Below are 22,339 nucleotides of genomic sequence, written 5' to 3'. Positions count from 1 at the left end.
GAACTGAAGGCTGCACTGTCAGCTTCCCTACTTTTGAGATTTTAGGACTCGGACTGGTTTCCTTGCTCCTCAGTTTACAAACAGCCTATTGTGGGACTTCACCTTGTGATCATATGAGTAAATACTTCTTAATAAACTTCCTTTCATGTATGCATCTATCCTATTAGACCTGTCCGTCTAGAGAACCATGACTAATACATCTTATTTAAAAAAAAAATTTTGAAGTAACTTGCGACAACTGCAGTAACAAAATAATTTATTAAATGTATTCAAAATTTAATTTGAGCCAAGCATTTTTTTAAGCACTTTTACAGGAATTTCATAATTTAATCATTAAAACAAATTCATATACTAATGAAACCTTTTGTAAGTATATGAATACCAATAACCTTTTTTTATTATTCTTTAAGTTTTGGGATACATGTCAGAACGTGCAGGTTTGTTACGTAGGTATACACATGCCATGATGGTTTGCTGCAACCATCAACCCCTCATCTACATTAGGTATTTCTCCTAATGCTATCCCTCCCGTAGCCCTTCACCCCCCAACAGGCCCTGTTGTGTGATGTTCCCCTCCCTGTGTCCATGTGTTCTCATTTTTCAACTCACACTTATGAGTGAGAACATGCTGTGTTTGGTTTTCTGTTCCTGTGTGTGTTTGCTGACAATGATGGTTTCCAGCTTCATCCATGTCCCTGCAAAGGACATGAACTCATCCTTTTTTATGGCTGCATAGTATTCCATGGTGTATATGTGCCGTATTTTCTTTATCCAGTCTATCATTAATGGGAATTTTGGTTGTTCCAAGTCTTTGCTATTGTGAATAGTGTGGCAATAAACATACAAGTGCATGAGTTCTTATAGTCGAATGATTTATAATCTTTTGAGTATATACCCAGTAATGGGATTGCTGGGTCAAATGGTATTTCTGGTTCTAGATCCTTGAGGAATCGCCACACTGTCTTCCACAATGGTTGAATTAATTTACACTTCCACCAACAGTGTAAAAGCATTCCTATTTCACCACATCCTCTTCAGCATCTGTTGTTTTCTGACTTTTTAATGATCGCCATTCTAACTGGCATGAGATGGTATTTCATTGTGGTTTTGATTTGCATTTCTCCAATGACCAGCGACGATGAGCTTTTTTTCGTATGTTTGTTGGCCACATAAAAGTCTTCTTTTGAGAAGTGTCTGTTCATATCCTTCACCCACTTTTTAATGGTGTTGTTCGTTTTTTTCTTGTACATTTGTTTAAGTTATGTGTAGATTCTGGATATTAGCCGTTTGTTAAAACTTAAAAAAGCTGTAGAAGTAAGGGGATGTTGTCAAATATATCATACTATTTCATGAATGTTTGCTTACTTCCATAATATCAGAATATATCAATTTAGCGAATCAATTTTTTGAAAGATCCCAGTGATCATAGGGAGTATGATCCAAATTCCTTTCAAAGTTTAAAAAAGGAAAGGTAAAATAGGGAGAGATGGGGAATAGCAGAGCAGAAGTACCCTGGCATGTAACATAATCTTAATAAAAAAAAAGCCTTCTCAATTTTTATGCATTCCAATTAGAAAGTTAGAAAAGTTTCTTAACCAAAGACCACAATATCTTTTATCACAGTAAAGATCATTTTTATACTATTCCAAATGTGGAATAGCATTAGAGAAGCTTAGGGACATGGATGAAGCTGGAAAAAAGTGCCCAAAGTGCACAAAGGCTGAAAATCCCCAAAACCAGAATGCCTCTTCTTATCCAAAGGATTACAACTCCTCACCATGAAGGGAAAAAAAGTGGATGAAGAATGAGTTTGACAAATTGACAAAAGTAGGCTTCAGAAGCTGGGTAATAAAAAACTCCTCCAAGCTAAAGGAGCATGTTCTAACCCAATGCAAGGAAGCTAAGAACCTTGAAAAAAGGTTAGAGGAATTGCTAACTAGAATAACCAGGTTAGAGAAAAACATAAATGAGCTGATGGAGTTGAAAAATACAGCATACACTTATATGCTGTTGGCGAGAGTATAAATCAGTACAACCTCTATGAAAAACAGTATAGAGGTTTCTCAAAGAACTAAAAATAGAACTACAGTTTGATCCAGGAATACCACTACTGGGTATCTACCCAAAGGAAAAGAAATCAATACATCAAAAAGATAATTGAACTTGAATGTTTATTGCAGCACTATTCACAATAGCAAAGATTTGGAATCAACCTAAGAGTCCATCAATGGATGACTGGGTAAAGAAAATGTGGTATACATATACAATGGAATACTATGCAGCCATAAAAGGATGAAATCATGTCTTTTGCAACAATTAATAACTGGAGGTTATTACCTTAAGTGAAACAAGCTGGACACAGAAAGACAGATATTTCATGTGCAGTTTTTATGTGAACATAAGTTTTCAAATCAGTGAGATAAATACACAGAAGCACAAATGCTGGCTTGTACAGTTAATTGGCTGCATAGCTGCCACACTGTCTGCTGTACTATTTTCCATCCCCAACAGCAATGAATGAGCATTCCTATTACTCTGCATCCTCACCAGTATTTAATATTGTCCGTTTTTTAAATTTTAGCCACTTACTAGGTGTGCCATTATGCTTTGAGGATTTCATAACTTCCAATTAGATAAAGTCATAATCAAGGGTCTAGCCATCCTCTAGTATAAGGGCAGGCTACTACCCAAAACTTGGTCTACATGATACTCTCTATCAGAACTCAAATTTACATCAAATGAAAAAAAAAGTTTGAAAATGCATGGAGTTCACATGTAACACTCAGTGAGACTGGATTCTACTAGCAGACTCTTTAGCAGTTGTCCTTGATTCGTTGAGGTGCCTTAATTCCTAACAAATTGCAAGACTTTTTCCCTCATTTTTCTCTTTATTTAGTGTGCTCCACATACATACCCAATATATCCCTCTTGTTTACTTTAGCCAAAGTGATTTTCAATGTTTTACATACATGTAAACCTACCTGTAATACACTCAATAAAGCCAATGAAAAAGAGATGTTTGTAGTTGAAACACAGAAGGTGATGATATAATATAAATTGACTTATTGGAAATAATGGTAAGAAATGAATAAAATTTATTTTTTAAATAGAGAACCACATTTGGAATAGTATAAAAATGATCTTTACTGTGATAAAAGATATTGTGGTCTTTGGTTAAGAAATTTTTCTAACTTTCTAATTGGAATGCATAAAAATTGAGAAGCCTTTTTTTTTTATTAAGATTATGTTACATGCCAGGGTACTTCTGCTCTGCTATTCCCCATCTCTCCCTATTCTACCTTTCCTTTTTTAAACTTTGAAAGGAATTTGGATCATACTCCCTATGATCACTGGGATCTTTCAAAAAATTGATTCGCTAAATTGATATATTCTGATATTATGGAAGTAAGCAAACATTCATGAAATAGTATGACATATTTTACAACATCCCCTTACTTCTACATCTTTACATCAGCATTACAATTTTATCCCATTGAACAAATAAAAGAGATATAATAGCAGCAAACCTTGATACTTTCACATATAATATAAATACCCTCATTCATTAAAATACAGCATTCATATGGAGGCCGGGCGCGGTGGCTCACGCTTGTAATCCCAGCACTTTGGGAGGCCGAGGCAGGCGGATCACGAGGTCAGGAGATCGAGACCATCCTGGCTAACACGGTGAAACCCCCTTTCTACTAAAAATACAAACAATTAGCCAGGGCATGGTGGTGGGCGCCTGTGGTCCCAGCTACTCAGGAGGCTGAGGCAGGAGAATGGCGTGAACCCGGGAGGTGAAGCTTACAGTGAACCGAGATCGCGCCACTGCACTCCAGCCTGGGCGACAGAGGGAGACTACGTCTCAAAAAAAAAACAAAAAACGAAAAACAAAAAACAGCATCAATACAACAAATGTTTGGTAGACAAAATGATCACATTTAATTTTTCTTCAACTTTTATTTTAAGTTCAGTGGTACATGTGCCAGATGTACGGGTTTGTTATGTGTGCCATGGTGGTTTACTGCTCAGATGATCCCATCACCAAGGTATGAAGCCCAGCATCCATTAACTCTTGTATCGATGTTGTATTTTAATGAATGAGGATATTTATATTTTTCAAGTAGTATTTTGTTTCCACATTGCTATGATTTTCCTGATTCAAGCATATGCTTTTAAATGTAAATTGTAAGTACTTCAGATTTCCAAATATGATAAAATCGATAGAAAGGATTGCCGAAGAAAATATCAAGGTTTGCTCCTATTAAATCTCTTTTATTTGTTCAATGTTAAAGGATCTTAAGTGACTCAAGCTTGACCCCATATTAAAAGCAAATCAAAATGAAAGAATCAATGGACCCATTAATGAGGAAATCATAAGGAAGTAGAATTAGGATAAAGCTTTTTTGTTACACAGGATTTTTCTCAAAGCTTCTTTGACATCTTTGTTTCTTAGAGAGTAGATCAGAGGGTTTAACATGGGTGTAACCAATATGTAAAATACTGAAGCCACTTTGCGAAGTTCAGGATTGCTTGGAGGTGTGAGGTACACAAAGGAAACAGTCCCTTAGAGCAAACTTACAACACCCAGATGGGAGCTGCAAGTGGAAAAGTCTTTCTTTCTCCCTTCACTGGAGGGGATCTTCAAGACTGAGGATACAATATACAGGTAAGATACTATAATAACAACAATTGTAGGCAAAATAATGATGACACTCAAACTCAGAGATACCATCTTATTGACAAAGAGATTAGAACAGGAAATCTTTTCAATTTGATAAGAATCACAGTAGAAGTGAGCAATGACTCTGGAAGCACAGAAGGACACTGAGAATGTTACACTGACTTGGAGGATGGAACTGGCCCAGCCACAGAAATAAGAACCAGCAACCAACTGAGTGCAGAGGCGTCTTGACATGTGAACACTATGAAGAAGAGGATTGCAGATGGCACTGAAGCGGTCATAGGCCATGGCTGCCAGGACAAACCCCTCTGTTACAATGAACAGGGCAAAAAGGAATAACTGGGCAACACAACCTGCAAAAGAGACTGTCTTTTTTTCAGACAGGAAGTGGGCCATGGCTTTAGGAGCAATAACAGTGGAGTAGGAGACGTCAATGAAGGAGAGGTTGCCTAGAAAAAAATACATTGGTGTGTTCAGCTGGGAATCAGTTACAATGATTGTCATCACACTAATGTTCCCCAAAAGAACCATGCTATAGATCAGCAGGAACAGGAAGAAGAGGAGAATGTAGAACTCTGGGCGGACCCTGAAGCCTTCAAGAATGAAATCAGTTACATCTGAATGGTTGCCTGTTCCCTTGTCACCCATGGCAAGAACCTGTTAAAAGGTATGAGACAAGGTTAAAAATTGAACTTTCTGCCTGTTCCCTTTTCACCCATGGCAAGAACCTATTAAAAGGTAAAAGACAAGGTTAAAAATTGAACTTTCTGCCTATTTCTCGGGATGATAAAATATCCGTTTTTTTAGTTGTGGAGGATATTGAAATTTGTGTTGTCATGTCCTTTTGGCCACCCAATTCTGTTAGGCATGAACTGCTGCACCCTTTTATAGGAACTCAACATGAGGTATATTTTAATTGCCCATCTTCACAAAAATATAAGTTACCAAACTCATTGATTTCTAATGTGTTTCTCCAAACCCAGTGCTCTTCCCATTACGACAATGTGCCTTTCACTCTTTTCTTTATACCTGTTTAGATCCTCACTTGATATTCATGGTAAGTTTAATATACAGTAACTGAAAGTTTTGAGAGATGTATAAATATTTGTTGTCATCTTTAGCTAGTAATTTCAAATTTATTTTATTCTTAATAATGCTTCTATTTTACAATAGAAGAATCAAATTTAAAAATGATTTAAGACTCCATGAATAGACATTAGACATTAATAGAGTATTAACTGTTTGTGATAGTTTGAAATAGGTTACCAAGGGATTTAACTGAGTCTCCTAAACTTAAAAAAAAAAAAAAACCCTTAAAAATAGAATGCATCATCACCTTCGTGAAGTGGACAAAGTGCAGACACATTACCAGGAAAAGAAATCCATGAACCTTACAAATCCTGCACAGGTCTATCAAGAAGCCAAGTTAATCTTAAACACATGTGGAATTAAAAAAAAAAAAAAAAAGGAAGCTTCAACACAATAAACTGAATAAAATTTTTGGCTAGGAAAAAAGTGTATTAATTTTGAGAGCTTTTTTTTTTTTTTTTTTTTTGAGATGGGTGTCTCACTCTGTTGCCTAGGCTGGAGTGCAGTGGTGCGATTGTGGCTCACTGAAACCTCTGCCTCCTGGGTTTAAGCGATTCTCCTGCCTCAACCTCCAGAGTAACTGGGACTATAGGCACACGCCACCACGCCCAGCTAATTTATGTAATTTTTAATAGAGACAGGGTTTTGCCATGTTGGCCAGGCTGGTCTCAAACTCCCGACCTCAGGCAATCTGCCCGCCTCGGCCTCCCAAAATGCTGGGATTACAGGCGTGAGCCACTGTGCCCAGCCCGTTTCTGAATGTATTAAAATAGTCATGATGGTTACTTTGAATCTATCACACAAATCTTAAGTAGTCAGATTTCTCTGTCTTATAAATTTGCAGGCTTTCTGGTTTTCAAACGCAGAAAACAATCTAAAAAGTACTATCTTGGTTTGGCATGAATGACAGAGTCACCATATTTTGGCCTTGGCTCTCATCTTCCCTCACACATGTGACCTTTCTGTCTGCTTTATCTTCTCCCCAAATCACTCAGCTCCCGTTGTTATCATCTTCTCATCACCCGATCTTTCTCCTCTCCTCCCAATACTATATATTTTTTAAAAGTTAGCAACTTAGTTCACAAGAAAAATAACTGGTTAACAACTCAATATGATTCCTAGATTTCTTCTCTCCCCCACTGCTCCATCTTGAAACCCACTTAAATAATCCTAATTGAATTTGTTGTTAAGAAAAGCACTAGGTGTTCCTGTTAATGTCTGCAAGAATGATTGCACTTAAATATCATGGTAAAACTAGGGCTAAGGGAATGAAGATTTAACAGAGAAATTCCAACCACTCATCATCAGATAATAGGTGGCTCATAGAACAAGTAAAATATTAGAAATTTTTAGAGTAAATAAGAAGGCCTTATTGAAGCCACCAAATTCACACCACACAACTGGATATTCAGCAGTATTTTAGCAGCAAATGTTCTTTCTTCTAATTCCCAGTTTTATTAATTAAATTACAGAATATTTTCTGAAACTATACCTGACAGTATCCACTATGATCAGGAAGTAATTATTGAGATTAATTTTTTTCAAGAATAATATTTACTCATACAATCATTCGTTCAATCGCTGAACACTTGTGGGCCATCTACTGTATGCCAGCCAGAATAAGGTGACCCATGAGTATTAGAAATTAGTTTCTTCTCAAACTACAAGTGCACCTGCATTTTCTCCTTTGTTCACCTTCAATTTATTATGAAATAATCAGCATGTTGTGATCTGCCCTTCAAGAAAAAGATTGTGATTTTTTAAGGTGCATACTGGCTTTATTTTATAATTGGTAACAAGCAAACATTGCCAATCATAAAATAATTTTTATTTGATAAAGCATGCAGAAATACTTAAGGATGATTAATTATTTGACTAAAATAAAAAAAAAAAAACTCATCTCTTACCTGAATATGTCTTCTTTCTTGACTTTTTTAAAGCAATTTTCTACTGGTAGATGTGAGGATAAAAAAGTTATTGTATTTAATTCTAGAAAGGCAAAAAGGTTGTAAAACTATATGATGGAAATTAAAGACAATGTCAAAATTAAGCATGATAAAAATAAAAGTTTAGCATAAGATATAAAAATCTTGTTTTGAAATATGTAATTTTGTTCTGTTTTAGGCCCTTATAGATTAATAATAGCTCATTCTTGAATTAAGAATGTCTTTTTTCATTTCCTTAATAGTGTTTTTGCCTGAAAATCCCCTGTAATTATATACCCCTCTCATGAGAAAAGAGGATGGAAGAGAATCTATCAAAGCCTCTTCCAGGCCTATGAATATTTCTTTATTGAAACTGAAAAGGAAATGCAACTGAACCTAAAGGATTGCACTGCATGAACACGCCTCCCCTGCGTTGTAGTGTATATTACAGGCATTGGAATGAGAACAATGAAAGCAAAAGGGAAATTTAAATAAGGCAAAGATTAAATCACCAGTGAACTGTGGTAATCCCTGAAGATCTATGGAATATGGCAGGAGGGACTGGTGGTGCCCTTAGTTAGCACTATTGCAACTATTTCAGGTAATTACGGTATAGACTGGGTGGAAGGGGATCCCTCTGGGGGAAGCTAAGAATAAGTCAATTATGGGTGATAACAATGAAAAGTTCCAGGTTCATTCCACCAGGGCCACATAGGAAGGAAGAGACAACAAGAAAAGGATACTATCTATCCTTATTACTTACCTTGAACCATCTCGGAGTCTTTGTGGAAACAATTTCTTGTTAGAAAAACTTGCTTTAGGTTGAGGTAATGTATTTCACATAATTTCCATTTCTCAGTTTAATTTATACCTTCCACATTCACAATTAATTTTTGTATTGCTTCTTTTACATGATAGCTCATAGTCTTATGTTCTATAGGTTTTTTTATTGCCATTTTCTTGTGGGATCATAGGTGATTTCTATTTTGCCTATTGTATCATACAATATATTACATACCAGGTTACCAATGTATTTATAATTAAAATTAATGAGCAAGATTCAATTAACAAGCAAGCCTATTTGAATATAAGTGACAATTATTATCTCAAGGCCTTGTCGCCTCTGATGTACTAAGTCACCTCTGAAGTACTAAGTACTGTGGTTCTAGCTGGACCACAAGATTGAGAGTCCAAACATTAGAATGTGCCTATCTCACTGAAATACAAGAAGTAATGAAAAAAACTAATGAGCTTGAAAGAAATGAACATGTAGCCATTCGGTATACCATATACTGAAATTCAGTTACCAAAGACTTAGAATATAATGTACAAGATTAAATATCTAAATTAAATTTTATTTAGCATACTTACCAGCTATTACAAAAATAACGTGTACAGAACAACCACAAAGCCTAAGTGTCGTTAAACTCATGTTACTGGGGTCATCAACTAGGAATCTCTGATGATATTAGCTATGCAGTCTCTATTGTTGGCTGGTTGAGGATGACCTTAGCTGGGATGACTGAAGCAACTTGTATATTCTCTGCATGTGTCTTGTCTTCCATCAGGCAACCCTGGGCATCTTCTTATAGCTATGGTTGAGAAAGACAAATAAAAGCAGAAATATACCACAAGCAACTTTTCAAGCAAACATCTCACTGGCCAAAGCAAGTGATGTGGATGAATCAAGGAATGGGCAGAACATCCCTTCCCTGAGTTGGAGAGCACTGAAAAATGACATAGCAAAAAGGATGGTCAAAGGGAGGGGGTGAATAATTATGACCACTTCTTTTCAACGTGAGGCTATGTCCAGATATGAAGCTGGTGTGTTTTGAAAGTTTACATGGGTTAGGCTTTCATAACCTTTTTAGGCCTTACCATGTGTTCCTTACACAGACTCACTGTTAGAGTGGGTAAAAGCTCTCCTATATCAGCTGCTATTCTCATTTTGGTCTGCCACACTTTCTAGGGAATACCTGTTGGCTACTTTGAATTTGTTTGTTCTCATACCATTTGTCCCAGCCATCCCATTACTGGGTATATACCCAAAGGATTATAAATCATGCTGCTATAAAGACACATGCACACGTATGTTTATTGCGGCACTATTCACAATAGCAAAGACTTGGAACCAACCCAAATGTCCAACAATGATAGACTGGATTATGAAAATGTGGCACATATACACCATGGAACACTATGCAGCCATAAAAAATGATGAGTTCATGTCCTTTGCAGGGACATGGATGAAATTGGAAATCATCATTCTCAGTAAACTATCGCAAGGACAAAAAACCAAACACCACATGTTCTCACTCATAGGTGGGAATTGAACAATGAGAACACATGGACACAGGAAGGGGAACATCACACTCTGGGGACTGTTGTGGGGTGGGGGGAGGGGGGAGGGATAGCATTAGGAGATATACCTAATGCTAAATGACGAGTTAATGGGTGCAGCACACCAGCATGGCACATGTATACATATGTAACTAACCTGCACATTGTGCACATGTACCCTAAAACTTAAAGTATAATAATAATAAAATAAAATAAAATAAAAAGAAATCTGATTTCTTCCATTTGCTTTCTCCAACACAGCGCCAATAATGCTCAGATTTTGAGGTTGATGCTTTGTTCCCACCTGCTAATATTTGGAGATTCATAGTCACACTTTGTTATATAAATTTGTCTGTCCATGAAATTTGGTTTTGCTCTCTCTAGTTGTTTTTTGCCTAGGGTTAAAAAATTGTTTAAATTCAAACAAGTGGTGGAAGGTTTCTAAAAATTAATCTTGAAATAGAAATTCTCTGTGTGAACATATTGACTACATTCAAAAGGGGTATTATATGGTTATTCTGTAAATTGAGCATTAAAATAAAAGCACAACAAGGTATTCTTAAGGCACTACTCTGCTCTTTAGCAAAATTTGTAAGGGGTTATAAAATTTTTAAATTTCTGAGTTATCATTTTGGCAAAATAAGTAACTTACAGTAATCTGAAATTCTATTTCATAATATCAAGTGTTTTAAACTTTGAACATATTTAACAGGCTTTCCAAAATCAAACTTCAATTTCAAAATTGTCTTTCCTGATGCCTGGCTTTTTGGATGGATCAGAGGGCCCCTGAAACATCCAGAAAAGAGGTAAACAGAATTATTTGACATATTCAGGTATATGGGATTGCCAAAATGATGTTCAATCTTCTTTAGGTTATATTTTTGTGAATAATGTTAATATATGTTCCAAAATTGCATGGGATTTCTAAAATTATAAGGTGTGAGTATATGCTATCAATCATAATTAAGGTTGTTATGTTAAGTTATTGTAAAGGATGGAGATAACCAAATTTCTTTGTCAATTATATTTATAACTGTAACTACCCTGGACATTTTGCTATTCACAGACAATTGTTGTCTTGTTTTAATCCTCCTTTTCAAAAGATGGTTTATAGTCAGCTGTGGAATTTTGACAGGTGCTCTCAAATACATGCTTCTGATAATTTTGGAGATTGTAACATTGGAATAAAGGAAAATAATAAGATATTCCTGAATGACAAAGAAAGGTTAAAAAATTGTGCTAAAAATTAAGTGTTACATAAAATATAATTCTAGTCAGAAACAAAAAACATAAATTGCTTAATTATGTTAGAATGTTCAGGTAGAATAGTACCTGTATTAGTCCATTTGCATGCTGCTAACAAAGACATACCCAAGACTCGGTAATTTATGCAGAAAAGAGGTTTAATGGACTAACAGTCCACATGGCTGGGGAGGCCTCACAATCACGGAGGAAGGCAAGGAGGAGCAAGTTACATGTTACATGGTTGGCAGCAGGCAAACAGAGAGCTTGTGCAGGGAAATTCCCCTGTATAAAACCATGAGATCTCATGAGACTTATTCACTACCACGAGAACAGCACCAGAAAGACCCACCCCATGATTCACGTGGGAATTGTGGGAGCTACAATTTAAGATGAGATTTGGGTAGGGACACAGCCAAACCATATCAGTACCTTTTAAAGTTTGGTGAAATTAGTGCACTCTCTGGTACTACTTATTAATATTTTATTCTTGCTAGCAAATAAACTTGAAAGACATAAGATAAAGTCACGTGTATTTACTTCTCTTTATCATTTTTCTATAGTTTCTATAAAAGATTTTCTTTTATAATAAAACAGTAATTTGAACTGTTAATAGAATGTTTATTAAGTGTCAAATATTCTTAATATTGAAGAATCATAGCATGCAATTCAAAAATACATTATAATGTATATAGATAACAAACTAAAAGCAACTCTCTGTGTGATAAATTAAGGATAATATTTTCTCTTTTTTGCATGTTAGTTTTAGTATATTACATTCTATAACATTGCTAAATAAAAATAGTTGGAAAATTGGTTAAATATACCTTGCTAAACTCACATAATTAAAATAACTTATCTGTAGTCTATAAAGGTAAACATAATTTTATCTGCTGTTTATAAAATCCATAGATAAAGCAAAAAGTAACAAAATGTCATTTTGTAGTTTAAAAAATGCCCTACAAACAAAAGTACAAAAGGAAAGTTACATAATGTAATTACTGTCAAACTGAGACAAAATAATGTGTTCTTGCTTTAGCTCTAAGTTTATTCAAAAACATTTCAACAAACATTTAAGAGAATATTATATAAATATTATTCATTGCATAACCATGCCATTGAACTCACTAACAAGGAAATATAATTATAGGTAATAAAACTTATGCAGCTTAGAATATATTTGAGGTTACAAAGTCAAACTAATTTATACTTCTTATTTACATATATTGATTCACTTGAGATTTCTTGTAGTTTTGTTTTGTTGTAGAATTGATACATGATCTTATGAAAAACACTCAAGTTCTAAACTCATTGTGCAAAAGAAATCTTTCTTTTATATTCTACCAGTATTATTCTTGCCTCTCATTCTTGTTTAAAGATGTCTCTGACTTCTTTCTAGCGTGTTTTACAGTTTAGACAGACAATGTGAGTTAAAATGCTGCAGGATCCTTACTGACTTCACTATGTGTAATAGTCAGTGTTCTCTAGAGGGACAGAACTAATAGGATAAATGTGTATATGAAGGGGAGTTCATTAACAAGAATTGACGCACATGATCACAAAGTGAAATACCATAATAGGCCATCTGCAAGCTGAGGAGCAAGGAAGCCAGTCCAAGTCCCAAAACCTCTATAGTAGGGAGGCCAACAGTGCAGCCTTCAGTTTGTGTCTGAAAGCCCAAGAACCCCTGGCAAACCACTGGTGTAAGTCCAAGAGTCCAAAAGCTAAGAACTTGGAGTCTGATGTTCCAGGGCAGGAAGCATCCAGCATGGGAGAAAGATGTAGGTCAGAAGACTCAGCCAGTCTAGTCCTTCTGCCTTCTTCTGCCTTCTTTCTCTAGCCACACTGGCAGCCGATTGGATGGTGCCTATTCACATTGTGGGTGGGTCTTCCTGAGGGTGGGTCTTCCTCTCCCAGTCCACTGACTCAAATGTTAATCTCTTCTGGCAACACCCAGAAACACCCAGATACACCCAGAAACAATACTTTGCATCCTTCAATCCAATCAAGTTGACACTTAATATTAACCATCACACTATGTTACTGTGGTTAATTACCTGATGTAAACATGTCAGCTTGCTTGGCTGCCCTTGTGGTAACTAATTATCATGTCACATGAGTTTTGCTTCTTTACATCAAATAAAACAACAAAAAAATAAAAACAGAGTCTTTCTGTCTAATTTTGACCCCTCCCTAAGATAAACCTTGATATTCCCCATAAATTGCTGACTTCCTAATTAAAAACAACTCTTTTCTGAATTTCACAATGCTTATATCTGAAGATATGCTATGGCCTTTATGGGTGTGACATAACTGGCTTTTTTATCACCAAGATCAAATTAACTGTAATACCTGTAACCTTGATAATCTCGTGAGAGTTTGGGGGATTTTGTTTTTCCTTTAAATGGCTGTTGCTTTTCTTTTTTCTTCAATCTGGTGAGCTAGTCCTAAAGCCTGGACTCTATTGCAAACTTTCATTGCAAGTAAACTACCTTTTTTTTTCAAGGTAGGAACAAAACTACCTTTTTTTCCTTTTTCCTTTGAAACTTCTTTTGAAGGTTTTGCTGGGTAAACTGAGAGCCAAACCTAACTCAACCTCATGTACTGAGATTTGAGCCTTCTGAAGTGTTTTCACCAAGATCTCTCTTTTCTCAGTTCCCAGGGTGAATGTCATGTAGCTAGAGAACTCTTGCTCTAATTTTGTATTTCTTTCCTAATTCTGGTTTTTCAGCAAATCTAACTCTGATCCTGATTTGTCCCCAGCCTCATGTTTCCCCATGGAAATCTGATATTGTGGGACAGTATCTATTAGATGACAGTCAACAAGACAGATGTTCTATAGAGTTGACCTTTTTTATTTTTCATCTGGAGTCTTCACTTTCTTTTAACATCCTTTAAGCTATGCATTTTATTTGTATGCCATTGTGAGCCTAAATCATCAGAAAGAAAACAATACATTTCTCTCTGGAATAAAGGGAAGATCTTAGAGATCTGGAATAACCGTGACTATTATGGAGCTTTTGTGCTAAGTTTACTCTGACTTACAGCTGCCACTGGAAAATGAGACTTCTAGTTCTCATAATGAGCATGTAAATTTTAAAAATGCCTTTTCTATCCTGAAGTAATTCATTTCTTACAAAGATCTTTTGTACTTTTTCTGTATCTGTGGCAAATTCTCTCTTATGTCAGGAAATATTTGGAAATTAATTGGTTGTAAAGCCATTTTCACACACTGTAATAACATCTATTTCAAACAGGCACATTCCCATCTATGGGGAGAAAATGTGTAAATGTTTCCCAAAAACTTCTGAAACTGGTTTTGTATGGCAAAGCCTCTGGCTTTTAAGAAAAGTGTTCATAATTTGAACAAACTGTACAAAATAGAACAAATGAATGAAAGAATGGAATGAAGAATGGGGAAAATTACTTTTGAGAAGAAGAGTTTCATGACTATGAAAAATCTGATGCTTCTGAGTACATGATTTCTCTTTCTCCTCTTTCATACTATAAGAAAGGCCCATAGAAATATACAAATGATGGAAAATTCAGATGTAAAACTGTGCTTCACGTACTGACAACACGAACTTAATGGTGCTTAAAGTTATGACCCTAGCTGAACCCTCAATCTCACTCAACAGGTGCTACAGAAAAAGCAACACACAATATGTTGAGAGTTAGTCAGCTAAAAACTGTTCCTGAATGTGCTAATCTACCTAAGAGTTTGATAAGAATAAAGTGTGTTTTGAGTCAGAAATACTTTCTCAGCAAACATATTGATATATCTTCACTTATAGAACTACACAGTAGTCTGTTTATCAAATGAAGCTGTTCTTCATTAGCTTATAAAGACTAGAAAAGCATTTTTAATATGAGAGAACTGTAAAATTTTCTAGAAATACTTCATGCAAAATGTTCTACATTTGTTGGCTTGCTTAAAATAAGCTTCCGACACTTGATAAAACTTACTTAAGGAGAAAAATAATTTAGCTAAATTTGTAATGGTTTTGGTTATTAGGCTTCACGACAGGTGGCAATGTAGTGCAAGTTGTTAGAGAAGAGTACGAAGTAAACTTCAGTATTCTCAAAAAAATGGGATTTATATTTGATATATTAATGTGGTAAAAAAAAAACCTTGTGTAAGCTGACAATTTTGGCTTAGAAACAATGTTATTTCTTCTGCCTGCTCTTATCAGTTTTAAAAATAATGTGAAAATAATAATTTCATTTATACAAGATTTAGGTTCATTTTCTCACACAAAGCCTAATCAACTTAAATTTCTTTAATTACCTTTACTAGATTTTATAATAAGTAAGTTCTCACTTTCACATAAATGATATAATAAGCGGGAATTTATAATTAAATCAATTAAAAGCTCAACTGAAGCAAAGTATAATATCTGGTTACTTTTAACAAGTATTTCCTCTTATAAACATATTTACTTCTTATAATGCTGATTATGATGAAAATTTAATAATTCTACTTACACTACTTGGAAAAACATTTAAATACCATATCCATGCATGACAAAATGCTCAGTCTTCAAATATAGGTTTAATATATACATGGACTTCTTTTATTACATAGAATATAAACTGGCCATCATTTAATATGTGGAAAAGAATATGTAGGATTTGGGATGCATTAGTATCATTTTCATATTTAACACTTTACGGCATATCTGAAAAGTCATGCCTGACTATGGGAGCATGTGTATGGAAGAAAATAAAGGGAATAACACCAATTTAAAATTGTCTGGTTGTGTCAACACATTATAAAATATAAAAGACAACTTTTTTGTTATAGTATGTTGTAGAAGGTTTGGAGGTAGACTTTCAAAAAATGAGTATGAGAAAAAACAATAAAATGTTTACAATTTTGGCCATTGTTGGGTGCCTCATGTTTTATTTATATACCGGGGAAAATCTTTTGAATCCTCTCATGCAACATGTTACACAGATGGTAACATGACAAACTGATTTTTGAGTACATAGTCTACCCTAAAACAAGTTAATTGGTTCACAGAGTGCAGACGCTCTTTATAGTGTCAAAATAATCTCACTCGAGAACTATTAACATTGTGTACTTTTCTATGTATTGAAAACAGTTTTTAATTTTGTCTATTCTGAATAAGCTAGAATTTCTAATTATCAGTTTTTGCTTCTCTGTTTATTTTCACTCTAGCCTGAAACTATAACCATTTTTAATGGTTAGTGTTCATATCTTGTCTCTTCTATCAACTCTTCCCAAATTCAAGCCACAAATTCAGAATAATGAAACTCTTTTGGTGTCTCTTTCCCAAACAGCATCCACAAAAACTTTCCCAGAGAGCATTTACAAAGATCTTTGCCGTAACATTATAACAGAAGAAATCCATGAGATTCTCCATATTTATAATGGTATCAGAGTAAATGTGGGATCAGGAAAGCATTCATAGTAGTCAATTGGTGGGACCTGGCATAGGATATCAGAGCATGGTTGAGTTGTAGATGGTTTCCATATAGCAGAAAGGCCCAAGGCAGAGTGTTGGATAGTGGTCAGGATGCAAAGGGTATTTACACAGGTTTATACTAGCAGCAGCCCAGCAACAGGTGCAGAAGCCAGATTAGGATAAAAAGAACAATCATGTAGGGGAAAGAGAGACAGCAGTAATGAGAGTATAGAGAAAATATAAAGCGGAATTAGTCAAAAAGTAAATATATTAAACATAATGAGTATTGGAGAGGGAGTTTGCAATATGCAAATTGAGAAACCAGAATAAACTCTGTACTGTTGGATTGGAATTTATAGTGTCAGAATAGATTCACTGTAATAGTCCATTCTCATGCTGCTATAAAGAACTACCTGAGACTGGGTAACTTATAAAAGAGGTTTAATTGGCTCATGGTTCTGCTGGCTGTACTGGTAGCATGGCTGGGGAAGCTTCAGGAAACTTTCAATCATGGCAGAAGGTAAAGGGGAAGCAGGCACATCTTCACATGGTGGAGCAGGAGAGAGAGAGAGAAGGCGGGAGGTGCTACACATTTTTAAACAACCAGATCTTATGAGAACTCACTCACTATCACTAGAACAGCAAGGAGTAAGTTTGCCCCCATGGTACAATCACCTTCCATCAGGTACCGCCTCCACCATGGGGGATTACAAGTCAACATGAGCTTTGGGTGGGGACAGAAATCCAAACCATATCACTCATCATTTTCAATATGTAATAGATATAGAAATGTAGGTGCAAATGATGGTATGTATGCATACATGAATGAGTGCACATATGAATGTATGTGGATGTGTACATATACATATATACATATGTATGTCTGCCAACTAAGAGACCTACCAGCACCTAAATAGCAGTAACATTGAACACACATCACCCATGTCTTGATTTCTAAATACACTTCTCCACTAAAAGGAACCAGGGATCCTTGGAGAAATGCGTAATTTCATATCAGATAGGCAAAGAACACAAAAATCTGTTCTGTTGTTTTGTGTCAAAAAGTATAAAGTGTTAAAAGAATGTTGGAGATAAGTCAAAAAAACACAGAAGCTAGCTCAAAGAAACTCCCACTGGCTAAACTGGGGATAATCTGAGCATCAAAATAAACAATGTCAATAATGTATTATAACACATTAAATAAAGTAGAAAACCATGAGTTCACGCTTATATAAATAAATAAATTTTTCAAAACTTAGAAAACTAGAATACCTACATGGTCTCACAATGTTTAATAAAAATACTTACTAATTACAAAAAGAGAAAGTAAATTTACAGAGGAGAAAGAGAGCAGATACTATTTTAATCAAATGGGTTTGGGACAGATTGGCATTGTGTGCCACTGAGATAACATATTGTAAGCATGGTTCACTACACTTGTTTGATAATCCTGACAAGGATACGTACCTGAATTTAATCATTAAGAAAATCAGAAAAACACAATTTGAGGGGCGTTCTACCCAATAACTGGCCTGAAATCATCAAGAATATAAAGAGAAAAAAATCAAGGAGTATCAAAGAAAGACTGATGAACTGTTCTATATTTAAGGAGACTTACATACACAACTGGATGCAAAATGTGACTCTAAACTTTCCATATTACCATTCCTTTTACTATCAATGAGGCCTTTGGAACAACTGGTCAATTCGGAGGCTTAAACGATGGTAAAGCAATCCTGATTCTGAGTATTGAAATATGATTATGAGGAGAATGTCTTTGGTGGTAGGAATTACACATCAAAGTATCTGGGAAAGATGGATCATTATGTTGGCAACTTACTCTCAAATGGTTTATTTTAAAAGTTTTTTCTTGGAGGAGGAGCCAAGATGGCCGAATAGGAACAGCTCCGGTCTACAGCTCCCAGCGTGAGCGACGCAGAAGACGGGTGATTTCTGCATTTCCATCTGAGGTACCGGGTTCATCTCACTAGGGAGTGCCAGACAGTGGGCGCAGGCCAGTGTGTGTGCACACCGTGCGCGAGCCAAAGCAGGGCGAGGCATTGCCTCACCTGGGAAGCGCAAGAGGTCAGGGAGTTCCCTTTCCGAGTCAAAGAAAGGGGTGACGGACGCACCTGGAAAATCGGGTCACTCCCACCTGAATATTGCGCTTTTCAGACCGGCTTAAGAAACGGCGCACCACGAGACTATATCCCACACCTGGCTCAGAGGGTCCTACGCCCACGGAATCTCGCTGATTGCTAGCACAGCAGTCTGAGATCAAACTGCAAGGCAGCAACGAGGCTGGGGGAGGGGCGCCCGCCATTGCCCAGGCTTGCTTAGGTAAACAAAGCAGCCAGGAAACTCGAACTGGGTGGAGCCCACCACAGCTCAAGGAGGCCTGCCTGCCTCTGTAGGCTCCACCTCTGGAGGCAGGGCACAGACAAACAAAAAGACAGCAGTAACCTCTGCAGACTTAAGTGTCCCTGTCTGACAGCTTTGAAGAGAGCAGTGGTTCTCCCAGCACGCAGCTGGAGATCTGAGAACGGGCAGACTGCCTCCTCAAGTGGGTCCCTGACCCCTGACCCCTGAGCAGCCTAACTGGGAGGCACCCCCCAGCAGGGGCACACTGACACCTCACACGGCAGGGTAATCCAACAGACCTGCAGCTGAGGGTCCTGTCTGTTACAAGGAAAACTAACAAACAGAAAGGACATCCACACCAAAAACCCATCTGTACATCACCATCATCAAAGACCAAAAGTAGATAAAACCACAAAGATGGGGAAAAAACAGAACAGAAAAACTGGAAACTCTAAAACGCAGAGCACCTCTCCTCCTCCAAAGGAACGCAGTTCCTCACCAGCAACAGAACAAAGCTGGATGGAGAATGATTTTGACGAGCTGAGAGAAGAAGGCTTCAGACGATCAAATTACTCTGAGCTACGGGAGGACATTCAAACCAAAGGCAAAGAAGTTGAAAACTTTGAAAAAAATTTAGAAGAATGTATAACTAGAATAACCAGTACAGAGAAGTGCTTAAAGGAGCTGATGGAGCTGAAAACCAAGGCTCGAGAACTACGTGAAGAATGCAGAAGCCTCAGGAGCCGATGCGATCAACTGGAAGAAAGGGTATCAGCAATGGAAGATGAAATGAATGAAATGAAGCGAGAAGGGAAGTTTAGAGAAAAAAGAATAAAAAGAAATGAGCAAAGCCTCCAAGAAATATGGGACTATGTGAAAAGACCAAATCTACATCTGATTGGTGTACCTGAAAGTGATGTGGAGAATGGAACCAAGTTGGAAAACACTCTGCAGGATATTATCCAGAACTTCCCCAATCTAGCAAGGCAGGCCAACGTTCAGATTCAGGAAATACAGAGAATGCCACAAAGATACTCCTCGAGAAGAGCAACTCCAAGACACATAATCGTCAGATTCACCAAAGTTGAAATGAAGGAAAAAATGTTAAGGGCAGCCAGAGAGAAAGGTTGCGTTACCCTCAAAGGAAAGCCCATCAGACTAACAGCGGATCTCTCGGCAGAAACCCTACAAGCCAGAAGAGAGTGGGGGCCAATATTCAACATTCTTAAAGAAAAGAATTTTCAACCCAGAATTTCATATCCAGCCAAACTAAGCTTCATAAGTGAAGGAGAAATAAAATACTTTATAGACAAGCAAATACTGAGAGATTTTGTCACCACCAGGCCTGCCCTAAAAGAGCTCCTGAAGGAAGCACTAAACATGGAAAGGAACAACCGGTACCAGCCGCTGCAAAATCATGCCAAAATGTAAAGACCATCGAGACTAGGAAGAAACTGCATCAACTAATGAGCAAAATCACCAGCTAACATCATAATGACAGGATCAAATTCACACATAACAATATTAACTTTAAATATAAATGGACTAAATTCTGCAATTAAAAGACGCAGACTGGCAAGTTGGATAAAGAGTCAAGACCCATCAGTGTGCTGTATTCAGGAAACCCATCGCACGTGCAGAGACACACATAGGCTCAAAATAAAAGGATGGAGGAAGATCTACCAAGCCAATGGAAAACAAAAAAAGGCAGGGTTTGCAATCCTAGTCTCTGATAAAACAGACTTTAAACCAACAAAGATCAAAAGAGACAAAGAAGGCCATTACATAATGGTAAAGGGATCAATTCAACAAGAGGAGCTAACTATCCTAAATATATATGCACCCAATACAGGAGCACCCAGATTCATAAAGCAAGTCCTGAGTGACCTACAAAGAGACTTAGACTCCCACACAATAATAATGGGAGACTTTAACACCCCACTGTCAACATTAGACAGATCAACGAGACAGAAAGTCAACAAGGATACCCAGGAATTGAACTCAGCTCTGCACCAAGCAGACCTAATAGACATCTACAGAACTCTCCACCCCAAATCAACAGAATATACATTTTTTTCAGCACCACACCACACCTATTCCAAAATTGACCACATACTTGGAAGTAAAGCTCTCCTCAGCAAATGTAAAAGAATAGAAATTATAACAAACTATCTCTCAGACCACAGTGCAATCAAACTAGAACTCAGGATTAAGAATCTCACTCAAAGCCGCTCAACTACATGGAAACTGAACAACCTGCTCCTGAATGACTACTGGGTACATAACGAAATGAAGGCAGAAATAAAGATGTTCTTTGAAACCAACGAGAACAAAGACACCACATACCAGAATCTCTGGGACGCATTCAAAGCAGTGTGTAGAGGGAAATTTATAGCACTAAATGCCTACAAGAGAAAGCAGGAAAGATCCAAAATTGACACCCTAACATCACAATTAAAAGAAGTACAAAAGCAGAGCAAACACATTCAAAAGCTAGCAGAAGGCAAGAAATAACTAAAATCAGAGCAGAACTGAAGGAAATAGAGACACAAAAAACCCTTCAAAAAATCAATGAATCCAGGAGCTGGTTTTTTGAAAGGATCAACAAAATTGATAGACCGCTAGCAAGACTAATAAAGAAAAAAAGAGAGAAGAATCAAATAGACACAATAAAAAATGATAAAGGGGATATCACCACCGATCCCACAGAAATACAAACTACCATCAGAGAATACTACAAACACCTCTAAGCAAATAAACTAGAAAATCTAGAAGAAATGGATACATTCCTCGACACATACACTCTCCCAAGACTAAACCAGAAAGAAGTTGAATCTCTGAATAGACCAATAACAGGCTCTGAAATTGTGGCAATAATCAATAGTTTACCAACCAAAAAGAGTCCAGGACCAGATGGATTCACAGCCGAATTCTACCAGAGGTACAAGGAGGAACTGGTACCATTCCTTCTGAAACTATTCCAATCAATAGAAAAAGAGGGAATCCTCCCTAACTCATTTTATGAGGCCAGCATCATTCTGATACCAAAGCCGGGCAGAGACACAACCAAAAAAGAGAATTTTAGACCAATATCCTTGATGAACATTGATGCAAAAATCCTCAATAAAATACTGGCAAACCGAATCCAGCAGAACATCAAAAAGCTTATCCACCATGATCAAGTGGGCTTCATCCCTGGGATGCAAGGCTGGTTCAATATACGCAAATCAATAAATGTAATCCAGCATATAAACAGAGCCAAAGAC

At 36.6% G+C, this 22,339-nt stretch overlaps 1 pseudogene, besides 2 other annotated features; it reads right to left on the bottom strand.

The window, feature by feature from the left end:
• Positions 4,396-5,334, bottom strand: OR9K1P (olfactory receptor family 9 subfamily K member 1 pseudogene; annotated as a pseudogene).
• Positions 18,219-18,955: an enhancer, noted in NCBI's record as "H3K27ac-H3K4me1 hESC enhancer chr12:55495697-55496433 (GRCh37/hg19 assembly coordinates)". NCBI's record gives its function as "activates a minimal SCP1, AML or CMV promoter by ChIP-STARR-seq in primed H9 embryonic stem cells {active_cell/tissue: H9 hESC(primed)}" and the evidence as "EXISTENCE:reporter gene assay evidence [ECO:0000049][PMID:30033119]".
• Positions 18,956-19,692: an enhancer, noted in NCBI's record as "H3K27ac-H3K4me1 hESC enhancer chr12:55494960-55495696 (GRCh37/hg19 assembly coordinates)". NCBI's record gives its function as "activates a minimal SCP1, AML or CMV promoter by ChIP-STARR-seq in naive and primed H9 embryonic stem cells {active_cell/tissue: H9 hESC(naive and primed)}" and the evidence as "EXISTENCE:reporter gene assay evidence [ECO:0000049][PMID:30033119]".

This window comes from Homo sapiens, chromosome 12 (assembly GCF_000001405.40).
Source record: "Homo sapiens chromosome 12, GRCh38.p14 Primary Assembly".
In the NCBI taxonomy this organism is placed as follows: Eukaryota; Metazoa; Chordata; class Mammalia; order Primates; family Hominidae; genus Homo; species Homo sapiens.
Note: the sequence above shows the minus strand (reverse complement) of the source record. Positions and strands in the feature narration are given on the sequence as shown.